The 26,206-nt window shown below is 38.2% G+C and overlaps 1 long non-coding RNA gene and 1 pseudogene across 3 annotated transcripts in view, besides 2 other annotated features; one reads left to right on the top strand and one right to left on the bottom strand.

Moving 5' to 3' along the window:
- The window catches only part of LINC00345 (long intergenic non-protein coding RNA 345), a 118,126-nt gene that overhangs the window by 27,713 nt on the left and 64,207 nt on the right, over positions 1–26,206 (top strand). The window contains exon 3 of one of the 2 annotated variants that reach the window (NR_184202.1): positions 20,716–23,867. The exons of the other annotated variant lie outside the window; for it this stretch is intronic. This is a non-coding gene — a long non-coding RNA (long intergenic non-protein coding RNA 345). Of the gene's footprint in view, positions 1–20,715; positions 23,868–26,206 lie in introns of those variants that run through there. 2 annotated transcript variants of the gene reach the window in all.
- The window catches only part of TPTE2P3 (TPTE2 pseudogene 3), a 98,103-nt pseudogene that overhangs the window by 14,201 nt on the left and 57,696 nt on the right, over positions 1–26,206 (bottom strand). The window contains exons 16-18 of the transcript NR_002793.2: positions 20,361–20,442; positions 20,169–20,257; positions 1,602–1,663 (exon numbers count right to left, since the gene is read on the bottom strand). The product of NR_002793.2 is annotated as a TPTE2 pseudogene 3 (transcript). The remainder of the gene's footprint in view (positions 1–1,601; positions 1,664–20,168; positions 20,258–20,360; positions 20,443–26,206) is intronic.
- Positions 2,707–3,001: an enhancer, noted in NCBI's record as "tiled region #15313; HepG2 Activating DNase unmatched - State 12:CtcfO, and K562 Activating non-DNase unmatched - State 13:Ctcf". NCBI's record gives its function as "activates a minimal TATA promoter and a strong SV40 promoter by Sharpr-MPRA in HepG2 and K562 cells {active_cell/tissue: HepG2 | K562}" and the evidence as "EXISTENCE:reporter gene assay evidence [ECO:0000049][PMID:27701403]".
- Positions 2,718–2,777: a silencer, noted in NCBI's record as "silent region_5387". NCBI's record gives its function as "represses an Ori minimal core promoter by ATAC-STARR-seq in GM12878 lymphoblastoid cells {active_cell/tissue: GM12878}" and the evidence as "EXISTENCE:reporter gene assay evidence [ECO:0000049][PMID:35858748]".

Below are 26,206 nucleotides of genomic sequence, written 5' to 3'. Positions count from 1 at the left end.
TAAAGACATAAAAGTTTAGAGCTGGAAAGACCTTAGAAATCATCTGGTCCAACCCTTCTTTCCATCTTACAAATGAGAAGACTGAGACCAAAAGAAAACTACACAATCTGCCATGGAGATGCTGCAGCCAGTTAGAAGCAGCACAGGCCTGAAATACAAGTCTCTGGTTTTCAGTCTAGGGCTCTGTATCAGTGGCTTTCAAACTTTTCATTTTTTAAGTTGCAATCCACATTAATAAACCTCGGAGAAGTACACACACACACACACCAATACTTAAACCTTTTCAGATTTTCTATTCTGCTCTATTCCATTTTATTTAGTTTTAGCTTTAGTTTTTTTTTGTTTTTTTTTTTTGAGACGGAGTTTCACTCTTACTGCCCAGGCTGGAGTGCTATGGCCCGGTCTCAGCTCACCACAACCTCCACCTCCTGGGTTCAAGCGATTCTTCTGCCTCAGCCTCTCAAGTAGCTGGGATTACAGGCATGCACCACAATGCCCAGCTAATTTTGTATTTTTAGTAGAGACAGGGTTTCTCCATGTTGGTCAGGCTGGTCTCAAACTCCTGACCTCAGGTGATCCATCCGCCTCAGCCTCCTGAAGTGCTGGGATTACAGGCATCAGCCACCGCACCTGGCCGATTCCATTTTATTTTTAAGAGATGTTAGTCACAACCCAGTAACTTTATTTTACAACTCACTGATACATCATGATCCATAGCTTGAAAAACACCATCCTAGAACATCCATTTTCAAAATCTGTGTGTCTCAAATTAGAAAAACCAAAGGTGGTGGAATTAGAGTGCTGGGCATTGTGCAGAACCACCACTTCTTCCCTAGACTGTAGGCCAAACAACTCAAGCGGAGCTGCTGGAAATGGTAGCATCTCAGCAAGAAAATGGCAAAGAAAAATGACTGAGAACACTGCTGTAGGTGGAAACATCCCACCTTGTCTTATCAGAAATTTCTAGAGGCCACAGACTCCACATGTGTTGACTAAGCAGAGGTATTTACATGCAGGAGAGGCTTTGAGTTGTGAAATGTTGCCTTTTATCTACCTAAGAGGTGTGAGGATGGCCAAGGCCCTTTGGAGAATTTATCTAATTAAGCTTGATACTATTCTCATGAGGAAGGAAGAACAGCAGGGCCAGGTGAGGTGAGGGAACCATTGCGATTACTGAATGTTTTTTGTATCTGTGTAACATGGCTTTACTCCCCTCACCTTAATCCTGCCCCATCAGGTCTTGTCATTATTTAAAATGTTAATATTGTATACCTCATGGTTTTTTTGCATTAATTTTTATTTTTTAAATATTGCATGAAAAATCATTTATTTTAATTATTGCAATTTTTAGCATTCTCTTAAATTCTGCGCCTCATTGACCTCACTCTAGTCCTGGCCCAAAGAGATTCTTAAGCCAGCTACTAACCAGTGCATGTTAAACAAGGAAGTATCAAAAACAGACTTTTTAACAACCGCTTCTCCAATTACAATTTCACTAAGCACCATGACTAAAATAATCATCTTAACATCCTACCAGTGATGTTTCAGAACTAGCAAACTCAGTCATCCTAAGACAAAGTTTGTAGTAACATCTTTCATACCTCTGCAGTTAAAAATATTTCACTGGCAATCAGGCAGGCACAAACCATAGTTCCGGTTCTTCCTAGAAAAGAAAAGAAAAATTAGTTCAAGGAACATGCTTGGTATAAAAATACACTCAGAAATATTCCAGGAGTTCATTTTAAGTTGATTTTCTTTCTTTTTTTTTGGGACAGTCTCGCTGTGTCACCCAGGCTGCAGTGCACTGGCACGATCTCAGCTCACTGCAACCTCTGCCCCACAGGTGGAAAATAAATTACATTTACGGTAAAAATATTTCTCAACTACCTCTCCACGAAAGAACAAGATGAGGTTTTTACTAAATCTATTCGAAAGCAATAATTCATGTCTTATATAAATTCCTTTGGGTAACAGTAAGAAAGAAAAATTCCCAACTCATTTAGTAACACTAAAATAGCTGGTTCCAAAACTGCATAAATACAGTAGACGATTACTTTATACCAGTCTGACATATAAATGTAGATATAAAAATATATATATTTTTTCAAAGTGAATTCAGCAGTGTAGAAATACCACGTATCAATACCAAGTGCCATTTCTCTTAAGAATGCAAGGATTTTTTTCCAAGACGGCAGATTACAGGCTTTTAGCATGCCTCAGCCATTTGGAAATAGCAAGATAGTACATAAAGATCAACTCTGTGAACTTTAATTCAAGAAAGAAAACGACAACTCCCTGGAATTATGAAGGACACCCCAGATCCTTGGGAGGACAACGCAGGCAAACAGCTCTTGTGACAACATTCGACTGATAAAAGCGAGTGAAGCCTCAGTATGTGAGAGAGGCAGACAGCATCCCTCTGTCTTACCTTTCCACTGGGGATCCAAGCAACCCGGACCGAGGAGGGGCACTGTTTCTCCCAAGTCCTGGAGCTAATTTAACGAGAGACTTGGAGACTTTGTGAGGAAAGGACACAAGGAAAAGCTGCAGGCATTTTCCCAAACCTGGACTGAGAGCAGGACAACACTGGGGAACCTTCCCCATCTGGCTCCACCCATCTTCCTCCCACACCCCCACCTAACTCCCGTTCCCCTAGGGTTTAGGAGGGAGCTCAGATTAATGTGTACTCCAGGAATCAGCTCATTGCCTAAGGCAACAGAGAGCTCTTCCCAATAAACAAACAGCAAGTATATAGCCAGCACCACTGGCCACAGCCAGCTCTTACCCATCGCCGCCATCTACTGGCTTGTAGGTCAAACCACATACCCAATATAAAACCTGCTGATAGAAGTGCATATAGAAGCAAGGCCAAAAGACCTACCTAGCATTGCTCTAAAGTCACATCACCTAAGGAGGAGGGAAAGGGAAAGAATAATAATAATAATAATAATAATAATAATAATAATAATAATAATGATATAGGAAAGAAAAGATAAAGAAAAAATCCTACCCACATAAAAACAATTACAAAAATTAGAAGTGCTAGCATCTCCAGATGAGAAGAACCAGTACAAGAATTCTGGCACCATGAAAAACCTGCATGTAGTGATACCACCAAAGGATCACACTAGCTCTCTGGCAATGCTTTCTACCAAAATGAAAACTCAGAAATGACAATAAAGAATTCAAAGCATGGATTCCAGGGAAGCTCAATGAGATTCAAGGTTGAAATCAACAAAAGGAAACTTCTAAATCAATTCAGCAAATGAAGGAAGAGATAAACATCTTAAAAAGAAATCAATCAGAACTTCCGGAATTAAAAAACTCACTTAAGGAATTTCAAAATACAATGGAAAGATTTATCAATAAACTGGACCAAGTAGAGGACATAATTTCAGAGCCTGAAGACTGGTCTTTTGAACTAATGCAGTCAGACAAAAATAAAGAAAAACTATTTTTAAAAAGTGAGGAACGTCTTTGAGAAATAGGTTATGTGAAGTGACCAAACCTACAAATTACTGGCATTCCCTAGAGACAAGGAAAAAAAGAAAACAACCTGGAAAACATATTTGATGCAATCATTCAAGAAAATTTCCTGAATCTTGCTAGAAAGGTAGACATCTAGATACAATAAAGCCAGAGAACACCTGCGAGATACTATAAAAAAGTGGACATTACCAAGGCATATACCAAACAGTCCAAGGTCAACGTTAAAGAAAAAATCCTAAGGCCAGATCACATACAAAAGGAGCCCTATCAGGATAACAGCAGACGTCTCAGCAGAAACCTTAAAAATCAGGAGAGATTGGGAAGGTGTATTTTCAGAATTCTTAAAGAAAATAAATTCTAATCAAGAGCATCCTGCCAAACTAAGCTTCATGAGCGAAGGACAAATAAAGATCTTTTTTTCCAGAGAAGCAAGTGCCATGAGAATTCATTAAAACTAGACCAGTCTTACAAGAGATCCCTAAGGGAGTTCTAAACATGGAAATAAAAGAATGATACCTGCTACCATAAAAGCACACTTAAGTACACAGCTCACAGAGCCTATAAAACAACAATACAACAGAAAGTATAAAGCAACCACCTAACAATGTCATGATAGGGTGAAAAGCTCACGTCAATATTAACCTTGAATGTAAATAGTCTAAACACACCACGTAAAAGTCACAGAGTGGCAAGTTGGATAAAAAAACAAAACCCATCTGTCTGCTGTCTTCAAGACACCATCTCACATGTAACAACACCAACAGGTTCAACGTAAAGGGTTGGAGAAAGATCTCTCACACAAACAAAACACCAAAAAGAGCAGGGATCACTATTCCTAAAACAGATAAAACAGGCTTTAAACCAGCAATAGTAAAAAAGGACAAAGAAGGGCATTACATAATGATAAGGGGTTCAATTCAACAAGAAGCCTTAACAATCCTAAATATATATGCACCCAACATTGGATCACCCAGGTTAATAAAACAGGTACTTCTAGACCTATGAAAAGACTCAGCCACATAATAATAGTCAGGAGACTTTAACACCCCACTGACAGCATTAGACAGATCATTCAGATAGAACACTAACAGAGGAATTACGGACATAAATTCAACACTTGACCAACTGGATGTAATAGGCACCTAAAGAACACTCCATGCATCAACCACAGAATATACATTCTTCTCATTTGCACAGCGAATGTATTCCAAGATCAACCATATGTTCCACCATGAAGCAAGCCTCAATAAATTCAAAAAATGTTGAAATCATACCAACCATTTTTTTTGGACCACAGTTGAATAAAAATATAAATCAATATCAAGAAGATCTCTAAAAACCAAACAATTTCATGGAAATGAAACAACTTGCTCCTGAATGACTTTTAAGCAAATGATAAAATTAAGGTAGATATCAAAAAATTCTTTGAAATAAATGAAAACAGAAACACAACATACCAGAATCTCTGGGATGCAGCAAAAGCAGTGTTAATAGGAAAGTTTATGGTGCTAAATGTGTACCTCAAAAAGCTAGTAAAATCTCAAATTAATAATGTAACATTACACCGAGAGAAATCAGAAAAACAAGAACCCCAAACCTAGCAGAAGAAAAACAATAACTAAAATCAGAGCAAAACTAAACAAAATTGAGACCCCAAAATTAAAACAGAGATTCAAAGAAACCAAGTCATTTCTTTGAAAACATAAACAAAATTGATAGACTGCTAGCTAGATTAACAAAGAAAAAGAAAGAAGATCCGGATAAGCACAATCAGAAATCACAAAGACGACATCACAACCAATCCCACAGAAATACAAAAGGTCCTCAGAGACTATTATGAACACCTCTATGCACACACACTAGATAATGTAGAGGAAATGAATACATTCCTGGCAACACAGAACTTCCCAAGATTGAATCAGAAAGAAATTGAAACCCTCACCAGACCAGTATCAAGCTCCAAAATTGAATCCATAAGTTAAAACCCGCCAACCAAAAAAGTCCTAAATCAGATGTATTCACAGATGAATTATATCAAATATACAAAGAAGAACTGGTACCAGTTCTACTGAAACTATTCCAAAAACTCCAGGAGGGATTCTTCCCTAATTCATTCTATGAAGCCAGCATCACCCTGAAACCAAAGCCTGGCAAACACACAATTAAAAAAAAAAAAAGAAAACTAAAGGCTAATCTCAATGATGAAGATAGGCACACAAATCCTTAACAAAATACCAGCAAACTGAATCCAACAGCACATCAAAAAGTTAATTCACCATGGTCAAGTAGGCTTCATTCCAAGGATGCAAGGTTCTGCATATGCAAATCAATAAATGTGATTCACCACACAGAAACCATATGATCATCTCAATAGATGCAAAAAAAAACTTTTGATAAAATTCAACATCCTTCTTGACAATAAACACTCAAGAAACTAGGCATTAAAGGAATACACTTCAAAACAGAGCCTTCTATTATGAACCCACAGCCAACATTGTAACAGGCAAAAGCTGGACGCTTCTCCTTGTCAACTGGGACAAGACAAGGATGCCTAATCTCACCACTCCTATTTCACATAGTAGTAAAAGTCTTTGCCATAGCAATCAGGCAAAAGAAAGAAAAAAATGGCATCCAAATAGGAAAATAAAAAGTCAAACTATCTCTCTTCATCAACGATATGATTCTATATCTTCAAAATCCAAAAGACTCCACCAAAAGGCACTTGGAACTGATACATTACTTCAGTAAAGTTTTAGGATACAGAATCAATGTACAAAAATCAGTAGCATTTCTGTACACCAATAATGTCCAAGCTGACAGCCAAATCAAGGACATAACCCCCTTTACAGTAGCCACACAAAAAATAAAATACTTAGGAATACAGCTAATCGAGGAGGTGAATGATCTCTACAAGGAGAACTGCAAACCACTGCTGAAAGAAATCATAGATGACACAAACAAATGGAAAAACATTCCATGCTAATGGACTGGAAGAATCAATATCATTAAAATGGCCATGCTACCAAAAGCAATATACAGAATCAACATTTTTCCAATCAAGCTACTAACATCATTTTTCACAGAACTAGAAAAATCTAATTCACATGGAACCAAAAAAGAGCCGGAATAGCCAAAGCAATCCTAAGCAAAAAGAACAAAGCCAGAAGCATCACATTACCCAACTTCACACTACGCCATAAGGCTATAGAAACCAAAAGAGCATGGTACTGGCAGGAAAAAAAAATTGATCAAAGGAAGAGAATAAAGAACTCAGAAATAAAGCCAAACACAGAAAGCCATCTGATCTTTGACAAAGTCAACAAAAATAAGCAATAAGGAAATGACTTCCTATTCAATAAATGGTGCTAGGATATTGAGCTAGCAATATGCAAAAGAATGATCTGGACCTATACCTTTCACCATATACAAAAATTAACTAAAGATAGAAAGACCTCAAACTATAAGAATACTAGGAGAAAACCTAGAAAACAGCATTCTGGACGCTGACCTTGGGGAAGAATTTATGACTAAGTTTTCAAAAGCAATTGCCACAAAAAACTGACAAGTGGGACCTAATTAAACTGTAGAGCTTCTGCACAGCAAAGAACCTATCAACAGAGTAAACAGACAACCTATAGAATGGGTGAAAATATTTGCAAACTATGCATCTCACAAAGGTTTAATATTCAGAATCTATAAGAAACTCAACAATTAAGCAAAAAAAGCAAATAACCCCATTAAAAATGGGCAAAAGATATAAACATACACTTCTTAAAAGAAGACATACCAGTGGCCAACAAACATGAAAAATGCTCCACATCACTAATCATCCGAGAAATGCAAATCAAAACCACAACATGATTATATCTCATACCAGTCGGAATGGCTATTATTAAAGAGTCAAAAAACAACAGATGCTGACAAGGCTGCAGAGTATACACGTATACACTGCTAATGGGAATGTAAATTAGTTCAGCTACCTGGAAAGCAGTTTGGAGATTTCTCAAAAACTTAGAACTACCATTTGACATTGCAATCCTATTACTGCGTATGCATCCAAAAGAAAGTAAGTTGTTCTAACAAAAAGACACAGGCCCCGGCATGCTCTTCTCAGCACTACTGACAACAGGAAAGACACAGAATCAACCTAGGTGCCCATCAGTGGTGGACTGGCTTAAGAATATGTGGTACATATACACCATGGAATACTACACATTCATAAAAAAATAAAATCATGTCCTTTGCAGCATCATGGATGCAGCTGGAAGTCATTATCCTAAGCAAATTAATGCAGGAACAGAAAACCAAATACCATATGTTCTCACTTATAAGTGAAAGCTAAACAATAGATGCTCATGGATATCAAGGTGGCAATAATGGACACTGGAATTCTAGAGGGTGCACAGCAGAAGGGGACACAGGTTGAAAAACTATTGGGTCCTATGCTCAGTACCTGGGTGATGGGATCAATCATACCCCACACCTCGGTATCACACAATATACCCAGGTAATAAACCTGCACATGTACTTCCAAATCTAAAATCAAAGTGGAAATTATACCAAAAAACTAAGCTCAAAAAAAAAAAATTTCTTTGCCCATTAAAAAAACAAATAAAAATACAAGAATCATCCTAGGCCGGGCGCGGTGGCTCTTGCCTGTAATCCCAGAACTTTGGGAGGCCGAGGCAGGCGGATCACGAGGTCAGGACATCTAGACTATCCTGGCTAACACGGTGAAACCCCGTCTCTACTAAAAATACAAAAAAATTAGCCGGGCGTGGTGGCGGGCGCCTGTAGTCCCAGCTACTCGGGAGGCTGAGGCAGGAGAATGGCGTGAACCCGGGAGGCGGAGCTTGCAGTGAGCCGAGATCACGCCACTGCACTCCAGCCTGGGCGACAGGGCGAGACTCCGTCTCAAACAAACAAACAAAAAAGAATCATCCTATATCAGAAATCTATATTAATGTAATTTATCATATTCACAGATTAAAGTAGACATACCTTGCAATTATGTCAATTAATGCAGAGAAAGCATTAACTAAAATTCAACCTACAACTGTGACTTTAAAAATTAATAAAAACTAGGACACTTCTTTAACTCAACAAAGGGAATCTACCAAAACACCTACCAGGAACATCATATTAATGATGTAATATTGATAGCATTTTCTTTAAAGCCTGGAATTAAGCAAAAATGCCCTCTGTTCACTGCTTCCATTTAACAATGTACTGCAGAGCCTAGCCAGTGTAGTAAGTCCGTGTAGTCAGTAAATCTATAGAATAACTCATTAATCTAACGAGAGAGTTGAGAGAGTTTAGGAAGATCTCTAGATGCAGGCTCAACATAAACAAAAATTAATAGCTAAATCAAGGATTCAGGTTGAAATCTTTACAGTAATTACTAAAAAAATAGAAAAGGAGTATATAACTTCCAAGGCAATGGGAGAGAGTGAGAAGGAAAAAATTATCAAAATTCAATCAAACCAAAACACAAGTCAGTAAGAATATAGAAGAGTTAAATAAATTAACAAATGCACGTACATAGAACATTGTTCTCAACAATGCATAATACGTGTTTTTTTCAAGTGTACAGAAAACATTTAACAATATCAACCAAATTCTAGGCCATAAACCAAGTCTACACAAATTTGGAAGAAAAAAAAAATAGTATGTTCTGTGTCCACAGCACAATACAACCAGAAATAAAAAACTTTTTTTTTTTTTTCAGATGGAGTTTCGCTCTTGTTGCCCAGGCTGGAGTACAATGGTGTGTTCTTGGCTCACTACAACCTCCGCCTCCCGGGTTCAAGCGATTCTCCTGCCTCAGCCTCCCAAGTAGCTGTGATTACAGGCATGTGCCACCACACCTGGCTAATTTTTGTACTTTTAGTAGAGACGAGGTTTCTCCATGTTGGTCAGGCTGGTCTCGAACTCCTGACCTCAGGTAAACCACCTCCTCGGCCTGCCAAATTGCTGGGATTACAGGCGTGAACCACTGCGCCTGGCTTCACAAATAAAAAACTTAAAGATAAATGCAAAAGTCTCCTATGTTTGGAAATAAGGAAGTATACTTCTATACAACTCACGGGTCAAAAAAAAAAAAAAACACCAAGCACAGTGAAAATTGGAAAATAATTTGAACCCAATAAAATGAAAATATTACATATGAAAACTTGTGGGACGAAGCTAAAGCAACTCTTAGAAGAAAATGTATAGCCTTAAATGCTAAACAGAAAACAGAGTGGTCGACACTCTAAGAATTATTCATCTCAAGAAGTCAGGAAAAGAACAAATTAACCCATGGAATACAAAAGAAAATACTAAATATAATACTAATTCATGAAATAAAAAGTAAATAATAGAGTCCATTAGTAAGGCCAAAAATTTGTTATTTTATTTATTTATTTATTTATTTATTTTTGAGATGGACTCTCGCTCTGTAACCCAGGCTGGAATGCAGTGACGCGATCTCAGCTCACTGCAAGCTCTGCCTCCCGGGTTCATGCCATTCTCCTGCCTCAGCCTCCCGAGTAGCTGGGACTACAGGCGCCCGCCACCGCACCCGGCTAATTTTTTGTGTTTTTAGTAGAGACGGGGTTTCACCGTGTTAGCCAGGATGGTCTAGATGTCCTGACCTCGTGATCCGCCCGCCTTGGCCTCCCAAAGTGCTGGGATTACAGGCATGAGCCACCGCGCTCAGCCACATTTGTTACTTTTAAAAGACTAGTAAAATTGATAATTCCCTGGTGAGACTAATCAAAAGAAACAAAGGGAGAAGGCACCAAGAAAATAATGTAAGGAATAAAAAGGGAATGCCCCTGTAGACATTAAAATGGTAAAATGATATTGTGAATAATTTGATGCCAAGACATTCGCAAACTTAGATTAAATGGACAAATGCTGGGAAAACAATAACCTACCAAAACAGGCTAAGGAAATAAAATTAGAGAGAATTCTATATACGAAACTGAGCGATAATTTAAAAACTTCTCCCCAGAGAAAACTCTAGACAAATGTAGCTTCACTGGTGAATTTCACCGTACACTTAAAAAGAAAAAAAAAAACAGCACGCATAAATTCATCGAGGGAATAAAAAAAGAGAAAATAAAATCTAACTCATTTTATGAAGCCAAGATTTGAAAAAACTATGAGAAAGGAAAATTACAACCAATCACACTGGTGACATGAATTTGAAAATCCTAAACAAATATTAACAAATAGAACCCAGGAATTTAATAAAAAAAAGTTTAATAATTATTTAATAAAATAGTATAGCACAACTCAATCACATTTATTCCAGAAATATGTTGGTTTACCACTTAATCAATCATGTAATTAGCCACATTTATTTATAAGATAAAGGGGAAAAATTATCATCTCAAAGATTCAGAAAAATCTGGAAAAATTCAACATCCATTCATGATTAAAAAAAAAACTCTCTCAGCAAACTAAAGACATTGTTTTTTCTTTTCTTTTTCTTTCTTTTTTTTTTTGTTGAGCCAATGTCTCGCTCTGTCACCTAGGCTGGAGAGCAGTGGTGTGATATTGGCTCACTGCAATCTCTGCATCCTGAGTTCAAGCAATTCTCGTGCCTCAGCCTCTAGAGTAGATGGTATTACAGGCATGCACCACCACACCTGGTTAATTTTTTATTTTTTAGTAGAGATGGGGTTTCATCATGTTGCCCAGGCTGGTCTGAAATGATGTGCCCCACTGGGCCCCGCAAAGTGCTGGGATTACAGGCGAAAGCCATGGCGCCTGGCTAAGGAATTTCTTCATCTGATAAATGGTAGCTCACACACACACACACACACACACACACACACACACATGCTCGTAAAGCAATTGGAGAGACACTGAAAGCTTTTCCTTTGAGAATAGAAGTGTACACTGATGGCTGCTGTTGCCACTTCTAATTCAACACTGTACTGAAGGTTCTAGCCAGTGCTAGGGGGGAAAATGACTGAAAAGGAAAAAATACAATGTATTATTTTCACATGATATAACTGTGTACTATAAAATCCAAAAGAATCTATAGATAATTTAGTAGAACTAATAAGTGAGTTTAGGCTGGGCACAATGGCTCAGGCCTGTAATCCTAGCATTTTAGGAGGCAGAGGCTGAGGCTGGCAGATCACTTGAGCCCAGGAGTTTGAGACCAATCTGGGCAACATGGCAAAACCCCGTTTCTACAAAAAAATAAAAAAATTAGCTGGGCATGGTGGCACCTGCCTGCAGTCCTAGCTACTCGGGAGGCTGATGTGGGAGGGATTCCCTGAGCCCAGGGAGGTTGAAGCTGCAGTGAGCCATGATCGCATCACTGCACTCCCGCCTGGGTGACAGAATGAAACCCTATCTCAAAACACACAAACAAACAAACAAACAAAAAGTGAGTTTAGTCAAGTTGCTAAATACAAGATTAATGAATAAAATGAACTGCATTTAAATCAACAACATTTAGAAAATAAACATTTTAAAGGGATATCATTTAAATAACCACAAAATATCAAATATCTAGGAATAAATCTCATCAAAAATATGCAAGCTTTCTACACAGAAAATGAGAAAACATTGTAAAGAGAAATGGAAGGAAACCTAACTGAATGAGAGAACATCTCTCTTCATGGGTTGGATGGGTCAATATTGTAAAGATTCAATTCTCCCCAATCTATAGATTCAACGCAATTCCAAACAAATTTCTATCAGGTGTGTGTATTTGACCAGCTGACTCCCAAATTTTTTTTTTTTTTATACTTTAAGTTCTAGGGTACATGTGCACAACGTGCAGGTTTGTTACATATGTATACATGTGCCATGTTGGTGTGCTGCACCCATTAACTCGTCATTTACATTAGGTATATCTCCTAATGCTTTCCCTCCCCCCTCCCCCCACCCCATAACAGGCCCTGGTGTGTGATGTTCCCCTTCCTGTGTCCAAGTGTTCTCACTGTTCAACTCCCACCTACGAATGAGAACATGCGGTGTTTGGTTTTTTGTTCTTGCGATAGTTTGCTGAGAATGATGGTTTCCAGCTTCATCCATGTCCTTACAAAGGACACAAACTCATCCTTTTTTACAGCTGCATAGTATTCCATGGTGTATATGTGCCACATTTTCTTAATCCAGTCTGTCATTGATGGACATTTGGGTTGGTTCCAAGTCTTTGCTATTGTGAATAGTGCTGCAATAAACATGCGTGTGCATGTGCCTTTATAACAGCATGATTTATAATCCTTTGGGTATATACCCAGTAATGGGATGGCTGGGTCAAATGGTATTTCTCGTTCTAGATCCTTGAGGAATCGCCACACTGTCTTCCACAATGGTTGAACTAGTTTACAGTCCCACCAACAGTGTAAAAGTGTTCCTATTTCTCCACATCCTCTCCAGCACCTGTTGTTTCCTGACTTTTTAATGATCGCCATTCTAACTGGTGTGAGATGGTATCTTATTGTGGTTTTGATTTGTATTTCTCTGATGACCAGTGATGATGAGCATTTTTTCATGTGTCTGTTGGATGTATAAATGTCTTCTTTTGAGAAGTGTCTGTTCATATCCTTCACCCACTTTTTGATGGGGTTGTTTGTTTTTTTCTTGTAAATTTGATTGAGATCTTTGTAGATTCTGGATATTAGCCCTTTGTCAGATGAGTAGATTGCAAAAATTTTCTCCCATTCTGTAGGTTGCCTCTTCACTCTGATGGTAGTTTCTTTTGCTGTGCAGAAGCTCTTTAGTTTAATTAGATCCCATTTGTCAATTTTGGCTTCTGTTACCATTGCTTTTGGTGTTTTAGACATGAAGTCCTTGCCCATGCCTATGTCCTGAATGGTATTGCCTAGGTTTTCTTCTAGGGTTTTTATGGTTTTAGGTCTAACATTTAAGTCTTTGATCCATCTTGAATTAATTTTTGTATAAGGTGTAAGGAAGGGATCCAGTTTCAGCTTTCTACATACGGCTAGCCAGTTTTCCCAGCACCATTTCCCAGCACCATTTTTTAAATAGGGAATCCTTTCCCCATTTCTTGTTTTTGTCAGGTTTGTCAAAATCAGATGGTTGTAGATGTGTGGTATTATTTCTGAGGGCTCTGTTCTGTTCCATATCTCTATATGTCTATATCTCTGTTTTGGTACCAGTACCATGCTGTTTTGGTTACTGTAGCCTCGTAGTATAGTTTGAAGTCAGGTAGCGTGATGCCTCCAGCTTTCTTCTTTTGGCTTAGGATTGACTTGGCAATGCGGGCCCTTTTTTGGTTCCATATGAACTTTAAAGTAGTTTCTTCCAATTTTGTGAAGAAAGTCATTGGTAGCTTGATGGGGATGGCATTGAATCTATAAATTACCTTGGGCAGTATGCCCATTTTCACAATATTGATTCTTCCTACCCATGAGCATGGAATGTTCTTCCATTTGTTTGTAACCTCTTTTATTTCGTTGAGCAGTGGTTTGTAGTTCTCCTTGAAGAGGTCCTTCACATCCCTTGTCAGTTGGATTCCTAGGTATTTTATTCTCTTTGAAGCAATCGTGAATGGGAGTTCACTTATGATTTGGCTCTCTGTTTGTCTGTTATTGGTGTATAAGAATGCTTGTGATTTTTGCACATTGATTTTGTATCCCAAGACTTTGCTGCAGTTGCTTATCAGCTTAAGGAGATTTTGGGCTGAGATGATGGGGTTTTCTAGATATACAATCAAGTCATCTGCAAACAGGGACAATTTGATTTCCTCTTTTCCTAATTGAATACCCTTTATTTCTTTCTCCTGCCTGATCACCCTGGCCAGAACTTCCAACACTATGTTGAATAGGAGTGGTGAGAGAGGGCATCCCTGTCTTGTGCCAGTTTTCAAAGGGAATGTTTCCAGTTTTTGCCCATTCAGTATGATGAATGAACTTCTCTACACTGGTTACTCTAGTCAGCCATTCGTCTAATCTTCTTTCAAGGTTTTTAGCTTCCCTGCATTGGGTTTGAACTTCCTCCTTTAGCTCGGAGAAGTTTGATTGTCTGAAGCCTTCTCCTCTCAATTCTTCGAAATCATTCTCCGTCCAGCTTTGTTCCTTTGCTGGCGAGGAGCTGTGTTCCTTTGGAGGGGGAGAGGTGCTCTGATTTTTAGAATTTTCAGCTTTTCTGCTGTTTTTTCCCCATCTTTGTGGTTTTATCTACCTTTGGTCTTTGATGATGGTGACGTACAGATGGGGTTTTGGTGTGGATGTCCTTTCTGTTTGTTAGTTTTCCTTCTAACAGTCAGGACCCTCAGCTGCAGGTCTGTTGGAGTTTGCTGGAGGTCCACTCCGGACCCTGTTTGCCTGGGTATCAGCAGCGGAGGCTGCAGAACAACAAATATTGCTGAGCAGCAAATGTTGCTGCCTGATCATTCCGCTGGAAGCTTTGTCTCAGAGGGGTACCCGGCCGTGTGAGGTGTCAGTCTGCCCCTACTGGGCGGTGCCTCACAGTTAGGCTACTCGGGGGTCAGGGACCCACTTGAGGAGGTAGTCTGTCCGTTCTCAGATCTCAAACTCCGTGCTGGGAGAACCACTACTCTCTTCAAAGCTGTCAGACAGGGACATTTAAGTCTGCAGAGGTTTCTGCTGCCTTTTGTTTGATTCCCAAATTTATATGGAAATGTAGACGGCCTAAAATACACAAACAATTATGAAGAAAAAGATGATTGTCCTCACTTGACTGGAAATAAGGACTATTAGAAAGCTACAGTAAGATGGTTGTGCTATTGGCACACAGATGAAAAATCAATGAACAGAATAGAAAGGTCAGAAGCAGACTCATGTTCTGCAGGGAAGTAAAGAAATAAAAATCTTCTCAACCAGTGTGCTGGAATAATTGGATAGCCATATATGGAAAAAGATGAAACTTAACCTCTTCCTCACACCACACCTATAAATCAATTTTTAAATGAATGAACCATCTAGAAGAAAATATAGTAGTAGAATGTCTTTAAACTCAAGGAAAATTTTCTTAATCAGGACACAAAAACACAAACTTTATAAAGAGAAAGCATAATACCTATGATGGTAATACAACTAAGAACTTCTGTTAACCAAAAGATACTCCTAAGAGAGAGAAAAGGCAAATCACAGAGCAGAAAAGTTTTCTTGAAATACATATATGACCAATAACAGAATGGAAATCAGAATATATAAAAAACTGCAAATCAAGAGAAAAAAAGACAAATAATCCAGGAGAAAAATGGGTAAGAAAACTTAACAGTTACTTTACAAAAAAGGATATCCAAATACTTAATAATCTTAAGAAAACTTCTTCAATCTTATTAGTAATTATAGAAATGCAAATGAACACCACCATAATATGCCATCACACAAACACCCAATGGCTAAAAATCAAAATACTCAGAATTGCAAGTACTGGGGAAGATATGGAATGCTTCGAGTGTGCGATACCAGTGGAGTGAAAATTGGTACAACTGTTTTAGAAACAGGTGACATTATCAAGTATAAAGTTCAAGATTCATTACCTTAAGACAGAACCATTTTAGTCTGAGGTACATACTCAACAAAAATATGGCCACATATGCAACAAGAAACGTGTATTTTTAAAAGCAGCATTATTGGGCCAGGCGCAGTGGCTCACCCTGTAATATCAGCTCTTTGGGAGGCCGAGGTAGGCAGATCACTTGAGGTCAGCAGTTCGAGACCAGCCTGGCCAACATGGTGAAACCCTGTCTCTACTAAAAATACAAAACAGCCAGGCATGGTGGCAGGCGCCTGTAATCCCAGCTACTCCAGAGGCTGAGGGATGAAAATCACTTGAACCTGGGAGGCAGAGGTTGCAGTGCGCGAGATCATACCACTGCACTCCAGCCTGGGTGACAGAGTGAGACTCCGTCTAAAAAAAAAAAAAAAAAAAGCAGCATTATTTATCATAGTAAAAACTGGAAACAACCCAAATGTAACAGAAAAAAAAAAAAGAGATTCCACTTGCAGTCACAATTTGTGTAGGAATGAATTTGTGAAAAGATGTGCAAAGACATGATGAAGAAAATATAAAATATTTAATTAAAGAATGAACAAGATCAATCACATGTATAACTTATTATCACAAAGCTGTCAGTTCTCTCGAGTGAATCTATAAATTCAATGTAGTTCCAATGAAAATCCTAAGCGTGTTTTATAATGGAACTTGACAAAATGATTTTAAAATTTAATGAAAGAATAACGTTCCAAGAAGAGCAAGACAATTCTGCCTTTATCAAACTACAATATAAGGCTACAATAATTACAAAAGTGTGATATAGAGAACTTAGAAACAATTTTGAATATTTCTAGAAACTTGGTATATGATTGAGAGGAATCACAAATAAATGGAGAACAAAATAGCATGCAATTGATGCTGTTAGGACCGTTGGCTATCCATATGAAAAAAAAACCTCCCCCAAATTTCAATTAGATTTAAGACCCAAATATTAAAAATGCAACTTGAAGATTTTTGAAGAAATGTAGAATATCTTTACTACCTCAGTATAGGGGTGAATTTCTTAAACGTGACAGAAAAGCATGAAATACAAACACATCGATTAACACATTTTACCACATTCAAAATTACAAACTTCTTGCTGGCACAATGGCTCATGCCTATAATCCCAGCACTTTGGGAAGCTGAGGCGAGTGGAATATTTGAGTCCAGGAGTTCAAGACCAGTCTGGGCAACATAGGGAGACCCTGTCTCTACAAAAAATACAAAAATTACCCCGGCGTGGTGGCGCGTGCCTGTAATCCCACCTACTCAGAGGGGCTGAGGCGGGAAGATCACTTGAGTACAGGGAGGTTGAGGCTGCAATGAGCTGAGATTGAGCCATTGTACTCCAGCCTGGGTGACAGAACGAGACTGTGTCTCAAAACAAAACACAAATTTACAAGCTTTTATACAACAAAATAAATCACAATCAAATTTAAAAGACAACACAGTGGGAGAATATACTTGCAATACTAAGAAAAATTGGCATTTAGATTCTTTAAAGAACTCCTATAAATCAATAATAAAATATTTCTACTCTCATGATACTACTGATAACCTGCAGGCAGCAACCAATCAGAAGACAGCAAGATTAATATGAATGAACATTTTTAAAAAGAGGCTTCTCTGGTGCATACCAGCTGAATATTCTCTAAACAACCTAAAAAAATCAACAAAATATTATGTGAACCCAGAATTATGCAAACCCCCTCTCAGCAAAAGTTTTTAGAAAAAAGTCAAATTTGAAATCCTTCAAGCAAGGAATTAGTATCAGTTAATAGAAAACTGATGCTACTGCTTGAAAAATAACATGTTAGGTTAGGCAATGTGAAATGGCCATTTTTAAACCAAAAGATGGTTAAAAAACTGGGAACTTCAAATGATTCAACTTCTATATTCTTAATTTAACTATGGTATTGTAAATTGCCACTTTATACAGAATATTCAAACCTGTAGAGCTAAACACTGAACCTGTATATTAACTAATGGGCTTGAAACTAGTTCTCAATAAAACTAAAACTTCATTTTATTGAATTATATAAGTCAGTTTACAGTGTTATGTTTTCCTGGAATTTGATATAAAAATGGTTTTACAGCCCTCTAAGAAGGTAATTCTTTATGTTTATCAAAAATTGTGAAATATACTTAGATGATTATTCAAAGCCTAAACCTGAATGAGAGAAAATCTAACTGAACTTAAATTGATTGGATTTACAAGTGGCTTTTCCCCCCATTTTAACCCCACCAATATAAACTTCTTTGTATCATTACACTATCATAAGTCCAGTATAATTTTTGAAATAGCATCTCTGTGTTGGCTCCCTTAATCTAAAAGATTCTCACCAAGTTTAAGAACAACCTTAAATATTACTGGAACAAAAACAGACATATAGATCAATGGAACAGAATAGAAAGCCCAGAATAAATCCGTGCATTTTTCAGCTGATCTTCAACAAAGGTGCCAAGAATCCACGATGAGGAAAGGACAGTCTCTTCAATAAACAATACTGGGGAAACTGGACATCCACTTGCAGAAGAATGAAACTGCACCCTATCTCACCCAGTGTACAAAAATCAACTCAAAGTAAAGATTTAACTGTGAAACCTGAAACTGGAAAACTACTAGAAGAAAACACAGGGGAAAAGCTTCTTGACACTGGTCTGGGCCAAGATTTTTTGGATATGACTGAAAAGCACAGGCAACAAAAGAAAAAATAGACAAATGACATTGTATCAAACTGAAAAGCTTTTGCACAGCAAAGGAAACAATTATAAAGAGACCACCTACAGAATGGGAGAAAAATACCTGCAAAGCATATATTCAAGAACAGGTTAATTTTTTTTTTAAAGGAACTCAAACAACACAATAACAAGAGAACAAGTTACTTCTCTAAAAAATGGGCAAAGAACCTGAAAAGATATATCTCAAAAGAAGACATATGAATGGCCAAGAGGTATATGAAAAAATGCTCAACATCATTAATCATCAGGAAAACCAAATTAAAATCACAAAGAGATATCCTCATACCTGTTAGGATGGTGATTAACAAAAAGACAAAAGAAGAGTTGGTGAGGATGTAGAGAAAAGAGAACCCTCTTGTACACTGTTGGTGTGAGTGTAAATTAGTAGTTATTATGGAAAACAGCATAGGGACACCTCAAAAAACTAAAAATAAAAAAATAGAACTACCATATGATTTGGAGATTCCACTTCTGGGTATATGTCCAAAGAAAATGAAATCTGCACTCCCATGTTCACTGCAGCATTATTCATAATAGCCAAGCTATGGAGTCAATCTAAATGTCATCAATGGAAGAACAGATAAAGAATACCTGGTATATATAAATAAGAACACACTGTTCGGCGTTAGAGGATATCCTGTCCCTTGAGATAACAAGGATAAGCCTGGAGAACGTTATGCTAAGTGAAAGGAGCCAGGCATAGAAAGACAAATATTGGATGTCTCACTTCTTTGTGGACTCTAAAAATGTCAAATTCATAGAAGCAGAGAGTAGAATGGTGGTTACCAGGGGCTGGGGGGAACAAAAAGGAGGGATTGTGGAGATGTCAGTTAAAGGATGCAAAATTTCAGTTAGACAGGAATAAGTTCAGGAAATTTATTGCACAACATGGTGACCACAGTTAATAATAATATAGATTTGAAAATTACTGAGAGAGTACAATTTAAATGTTCTCACCACAAAAAAGTAAAAAGTATGTGGAGTAATGCATATGTTAATTAGGTTGATTTAGCCATTTTACAATGTTTACATATATCAAAACATCATGTGGTATACCATGAATATACTGATTTTTATTTGTTAATTTAAAAATAAAAAAGAGCAGCCTTAAATAAAACTACTCTGACACTCCAAAATTAAAGACTTTGTATTTTGAGAGATATAAACTGGCAAACCAAAAATAAAGATATCCAAATAGAAAAACAAGAGAAAATATGCTCAACCCTCCTTAGTTCTTTTTCCCTACTTTCTTCCCTTCCTTATCCTCTCCCTATCTCCTACTCTTCCTCCTCTCCTCTTTCCTTTCTCCTTCCCTTCTTTCAGTCTTACAGCTAATACTTTTAAATGCTAACAATTACTAATACTTATTAATAGCAACAGGTATCTTGTTCTTGTGCTTTACATATCCTTACACGTCTTTAGAATGGGAGGAATAAAAAGGAAAACGTTATTACCTTTGCCTCCTTTACAGTGAATCACTACGATGTTTTCAGAATCTTGAGCCATCCACTCCAACACTTCCTTGGAGAATGCTACCATCTCCCTGATTTCAAGGTTAGGATTTTTAGTTGAGTTAAAATATTTTCAAAAAATCAAGCCCAATAGATTTAGCCCCCTTCTCATAGTCAACTTAGCATAAAACTTACCGTAGAGTGGGGACATTATGATCATCGATCATGATTCTACTGACCCTATTATGGAAGTGCTTAGGATCATAAGCTCTTTCACCTAAAATAAATAATATGTATGTCATATCTCTATATATAATAACATAGTAAATGATGAAGTTATGAGCAACATAAAATATCTTATTAGAAATTCCCTATCCATCTTCAAAAGGAGCTTTCCAAGTTGCTTCTGCTGCTCTAAAATAAACTTAAGAATCTCAAAAACATAAGCATATGAGCAGATTATCCATCTCATGTCACCTAAACTCAACTTACTTTTGTTTAATAGGTGTAATTTTTAACTTTCTAGCAGACTATCATTATATTATTGCAGGGTAGTTAGAAACCACGCAAGAGATCGCGGAGCCAAGGAGGCCGAATAGGAACAGCTCCGGTCTACAGCTCCCAGTGTGAGCGACGCAGAAGACGGGTGATTTCTGCATTTCCATCTGAGGTACCGGGTTCATCTCACTAGGGAGTGCCAGACAGTGGGCGCAGGTCACTGGGTGCAGCGCACCAGGCGCGAGCCGAAGCAGGGCGAGGCATTGGCTCACTGGGGAAGCGCAAGGGGTCAGGGAGTTCCCTTTCCTAGTCAAAGAAAGGGGTGACACACGGCACCTGGAAAATTGGGTCACTCCCACCCCAATACTGCGCTTTTCCGACGGGCTTAAAAAACGGCGCACCAGGAGATTATATCCTGCACATGGCTTGGAGGGTCCTACGCCCACAGAGTCTCGCTGATTGCTAGCACAGCAGTCTGAGATCAAATTGCAAGGCGGCAGCGAGGCTGGGGGAGGGGCGCCCGCCATTGCCCAGGCTTGCTTAGGTAAACAAAGCAGCCGGGAAGCTCCAACTGGGTGGAGCCCACCACAGCTCAAGGAGGCCCGCCTGCCTCTGTAGGCTCCACCTCTGGGGGCAGGGCACAGACAAACAAAAAGACAGCAGTAACCTCTGCAGACTTAAATGTCCCTGTCTGACAGCTTTGAAGAGAGCAGTGGTTCTCCCAGCATGCAGCTGGAGATCTGAGAACGGGCAGACTGCCTCCTCAAGTGGGTCCCTGACCCCTGACCCCTGAGCAGCCTAACTGGGAGGCACCCCCCAGTAGGGGCAGACTGACACCTCACACGGCCGGGTACTCCTCTGAGACAAAACTTCCAGAGGAACTATCAGACAGCAGTATTCGCGGTTCACGAAAAACCACTGTTCGGCAGACACCGCTGCTGATACCCAGGGTCTGGAGTGGACCTCTAGCAAACTCCAACAGACCTGCAGCTGAGGGTCCTGTCTGTTACAAGGAAAACTAACAAACAGAAAGGACATCCACACCAAAAACCCATCTGTACATCACCATCATCAAAGACCAAAAGTAGATAAAACCACAAAGATGGGGAAAAAACATAGCAGAAAAACTGGAAACTCTAAAAAGCAGAGCGCCTCTCCTCCTCCAAAGGATCGCAGTTCCTCACCAGCAATAGAACAAAGCTGGATGGAGAATGACTTTGACGAATTGAGAGAAGAAGTCTTCAGATGATCAAACTACGAGCTACAGGAGGAAATTCAAACCAAAGGCAAAGAAGTTAAAAACTTTGAAAAAAATTTAGACGAAACGTATAACTAGAATAACCAATACAGAGAAGTGCCTAAAGAAGCTGATGGAGCTGAAAGCCAAGGCTCAAGAACTGCGTGAAGAATGCAGAAGCCTCAGGAGCCGATGCGATCAACTGGAAGAAAGGGTATCAGCGATGGAAGATGAAATGAATGAAATGAAGCGAGAAGGGAAGTTTAGAGAAAAAAGAATAAAAAGAAACGAATAAAGCCTCCAAGAAATATGGGACTATGTGAAAAGACCAAATCTACGTCTGATTGGTGTACCTGAAAGTGACGGGCAGAATGGAACCAAGTTGGAAAACACTCTGCAGGATATTATCCAGGAGAACTTCCCCAATCTAGCAAGGCAGGCCAACATTCAGATTCAGGAAATACAGAGAACGCCACAAAGACACTCCTCGAGAAGAGCAACTCCAAGACACATAATTGTCAGATTCACCAAAGTTGAAATGAAGGAAAAAATGTTAAGGGCAGCCAGAGAGAAAGGTCGGGTTACCCACAAATGGAAGCCCATCAGACTAACGGCGGATCTCTCGGCAGAAACTCTACAAGCCAGAACAGAGTGGGAGCCGATATTCAACATTCTTAAAGAAAAGAATTTTCAACCCAGAATTTCATATCCAGCCAAACTAAGCTTCATAAGTGAAGGAGAAATAAAATCCTTTACAGACAAGCAAATGCTGAGAGATTTTGTCACCACCAGGCCTGCCCTACAAGAGCTCCTGAAGGAAGCACTAAGCATGGAAAGGAACAACCGGTACCAGCCGCTGCAAAATCATGCCAAAATGTAAAGACCATCGAGACTAGGAAGAAACTGCATCAACTAACGAGCAAAATAACCAGCTAACATCATAATGACAGGTTCAAATTCACACATAACAATATTAACTTTAAATGTAAATGGACTAAATGCTCCAATTAATGACACAGACTGGCAAATTGGATAAAGAGTCAAGACCCATCAGTGTGTTGTATTCAGGAAACCCATCTCACATGCAGAGACACATATAGGCTCAAAATAAAAGGATGGAGGAAGATCTACCAAGCACATGGAAAACAAAACAAGGCAGGGGTTGCAATCCTAGTCTCTGATACAACAGACTTCAAACCAACAAAGATCAAAAGAGACAAAGAAGGCCATTACATAATGGTAAAGGGATCAATTCAACAAGAAGAGCTAACTATCCTAAATATATATGAACCCAATACAGGTGCATCCAGATTCATAAAGCAAGTCCTGAGTGACCTACAAAGAGACTTAGACTCCCACACATTAATAATGGGAGACTTTAACACCCCACTGTCAACATTAGACAGATCAGTGAGACAGAAAGTCAACAAGGATACCCAGGAATTGAACTCAGCTCTGCACCAAGCAGACCTAATAGACATCTACAGAACTCTCCACCCCAAATCAACAGAATATACATTTTTTTCAGCACCACACCACACCTATTCCAAAATTGACCACATAGTTGGAAGTAAAGCTCTCCTCAGCAAATGTAAAAGAACAGAAATTATAACAAACTATCTCTCAGACCACAGAGCAATCAAACTAGAACTCAGGATTAAGAAACTCACTCAAAACCGCTCAACTACATGGAAACTGAACAACCTGCTCCTGAATGACTACTGGGTACATAACGAAATGAAGGCAGAAATAAAGATGTTCTTTGAAACCAACGAGAACAAAGACACAACATACCAGAATCTCTGGGACACATTCAAAGCAGTGTGTAGACGGAAATTTATAGCACTAAATGCCCACAAGAGAAAGCAGGAAAGATCCAAAATTGACACCCTAACATCACAATTAAAAGAACTAGAAAAGCAAGAGCACACATTCAAAAGCTAGCAGAAGGCAAGAAATAACTAAAATCAGAGCAGAACTGAAGGAAATAGAGACACAAAAAACCCTTCAAAAAATTAATGAATCCAGGAGCTGGTTTTTTGAAAGGATCAACAAAATTGATAGACCGCTAGGCAAGACTAATAAAGAAAAAAAGAGAGAAGAATCAAATAGATGCAATAAAAAATGATAAAGGGGACATCACCACCGATCCCACAGAAATACAAACTACCATCAGAGAATACTACAAACACCTCTACGCAAATAAACTAGAAAATCTAGAAGACATGGATAAATTCCTCGACACATACACTCTCCCAAGACTAAACCAGGAAGAAGTTGAATCTCTGAATAGACCAATAACAGGAGCTGAAATTGTGGCAATAATCAATAGCTTACCAACTAAAAAGAGTCCAGGACCAGATGGATTCACATCCGAATTCTGCCAGAGGTACAAGGAGGAACTGGTACCATTCCTTCTGAAACTATTCCAATCAATAGAAAAAGAGGGAATCCTCCCTACCTCATTTTATGAGGCCAGCATCATCCTGATACCAAAGCCGGGCAGAGACACAAGCAAAAAAGAGAATTTTAGACCAATATCCTTGATGAACATCCTTGATGATTGCCCCCTGTCTATTGAGTATACAGGTAGAGAAAAAAATCAAGACAGAGTGGTAAGCTGGGTTGCAACCTATTTTCTAAAGAGTTTGCTTTTTTCCCACCTAGGGCCCTGCTCTCATCACAACCCACTGCTAATGGGTCAGAGGACTCATTTGTTAAATTGTCTATGTCCTCATAACACAATCTGGCAGGAAAAACAGACAGATGTTCCTAAACCTAATATCACTAGAACAGATCTTCCCTAAAATGGTTTGCCTTCACTCTAGCCTCATTGGTCCTGCCAGAGCTGCCTCCTTCATAGGGTACTTTGTGCTCCTGGGCTAACTCCTTCTACCAAATGGGGCCAGTCCAAGACGGGGATTTTTAAATTCCTTCCTCACCACCACCAAATACTTATGATTAAATGCAATGTAAAAAACAAAATCATCTTCTTACATTCAGTAATCTGTTTTCTATCTACAGTAGCAAAATACAGAGTAAGGTACACACTGCATAGATTGTAGACTCGATAGTGGTTTGGATGTTTCTTGTCTAGAAACTGTACGACTTCCTAAAAAAGAGAAACACGTATTTTCCATAGTTACATGGCACCAACATAAGCCATTTCCACGAGGAACCTAAAATGGTTATTACTTTCTATTACTTTGTCTCTCACTAGCATCTTCTAGGGGAGACTCAGGGAATACAAGCGTATGCCAATTTCAAGTTCTAATCCACTGTGGTTTTTCAAATAGTCCACAAAGTGTGTTTGACTACTCAGATTAGCCTCTATTGTAAATACACACTGTTTAAAGCTATCAGAAAAGTAAATTAGATGGTTAACTAACTTTAAGTAAATTTGTTCCAAATCATAATTCACAGTTAATGTGGTTCTTATTTAAATCTAATTCATATTGCTTCTTATTTAAATTTAATTCTGATTAGGTATGTCTTTTAGATAGTGATTTGAATATTACATTCTACCTAAGCACTATGTAAACAAATAAATGCAAAAAGTATACACTATGATTGTGTGTGTATGCATGACAGAAAAAGATAAACATATTATATCAATTTATAAATAACTCGTAACAATATGGAAACTTTTTTGGCTCACCCGTTCTCCTAATTTTTTAATGAAGATATATATATACTGGTAAGTGTGTGTGTGTGTATATATATATATACCTTTTCAATGAAAAATAGTAATTATCTGAAATATAATTAATATCACTATACAAATCCAACAATTTTTTCAGGAAATATCTCTTTCTGAAACATACACACATATGTATATATCTCTGTGCAACAACAAAAATGACACAATTTCAAAAACTGATTAGTATGGTACTGTCAGAACAATGTTTACTGGCTTAATATGGAGAACACTAACATTAAGGTATCAAAGTCATCCATTTATTAAATTGGTTATCTATGTTAGGAGGAAATAATACGTCAAAAAGATGAACACTCCGAATCTGCATAGTGGCAGAGAGGAAGGATAAAACATTTCATATACTTTAGAATTCATGAAATTTCTTACCTAAAATCCATATACATTTAGAAAACACATATTAAAAACTACAAACATCTATGAGAAATTTAAGTGAATTTTAATTCTTTGAATGAGGAAGAACTAAAAGTGTTGAATCAATGGAAGATCTATAGCCTTAGGTTTAACTTCATAAAATTCTGAAATTTCTGTTGAAAAATGCTATAATGAACAACAGGGGAAAATATTTTTTCAGAAAAATGCACTGTTGGG

Source organism: Homo sapiens, chromosome 13 (assembly GCF_000001405.40).
Source record: "Homo sapiens chromosome 13, GRCh38.p14 Primary Assembly".
Lineage (NCBI taxonomy): Eukaryota > Metazoa > Chordata > Mammalia > Primates > Hominidae > Homo > Homo sapiens.
This window is presented reverse-complemented; position numbering and strand designations above follow the sequence as displayed.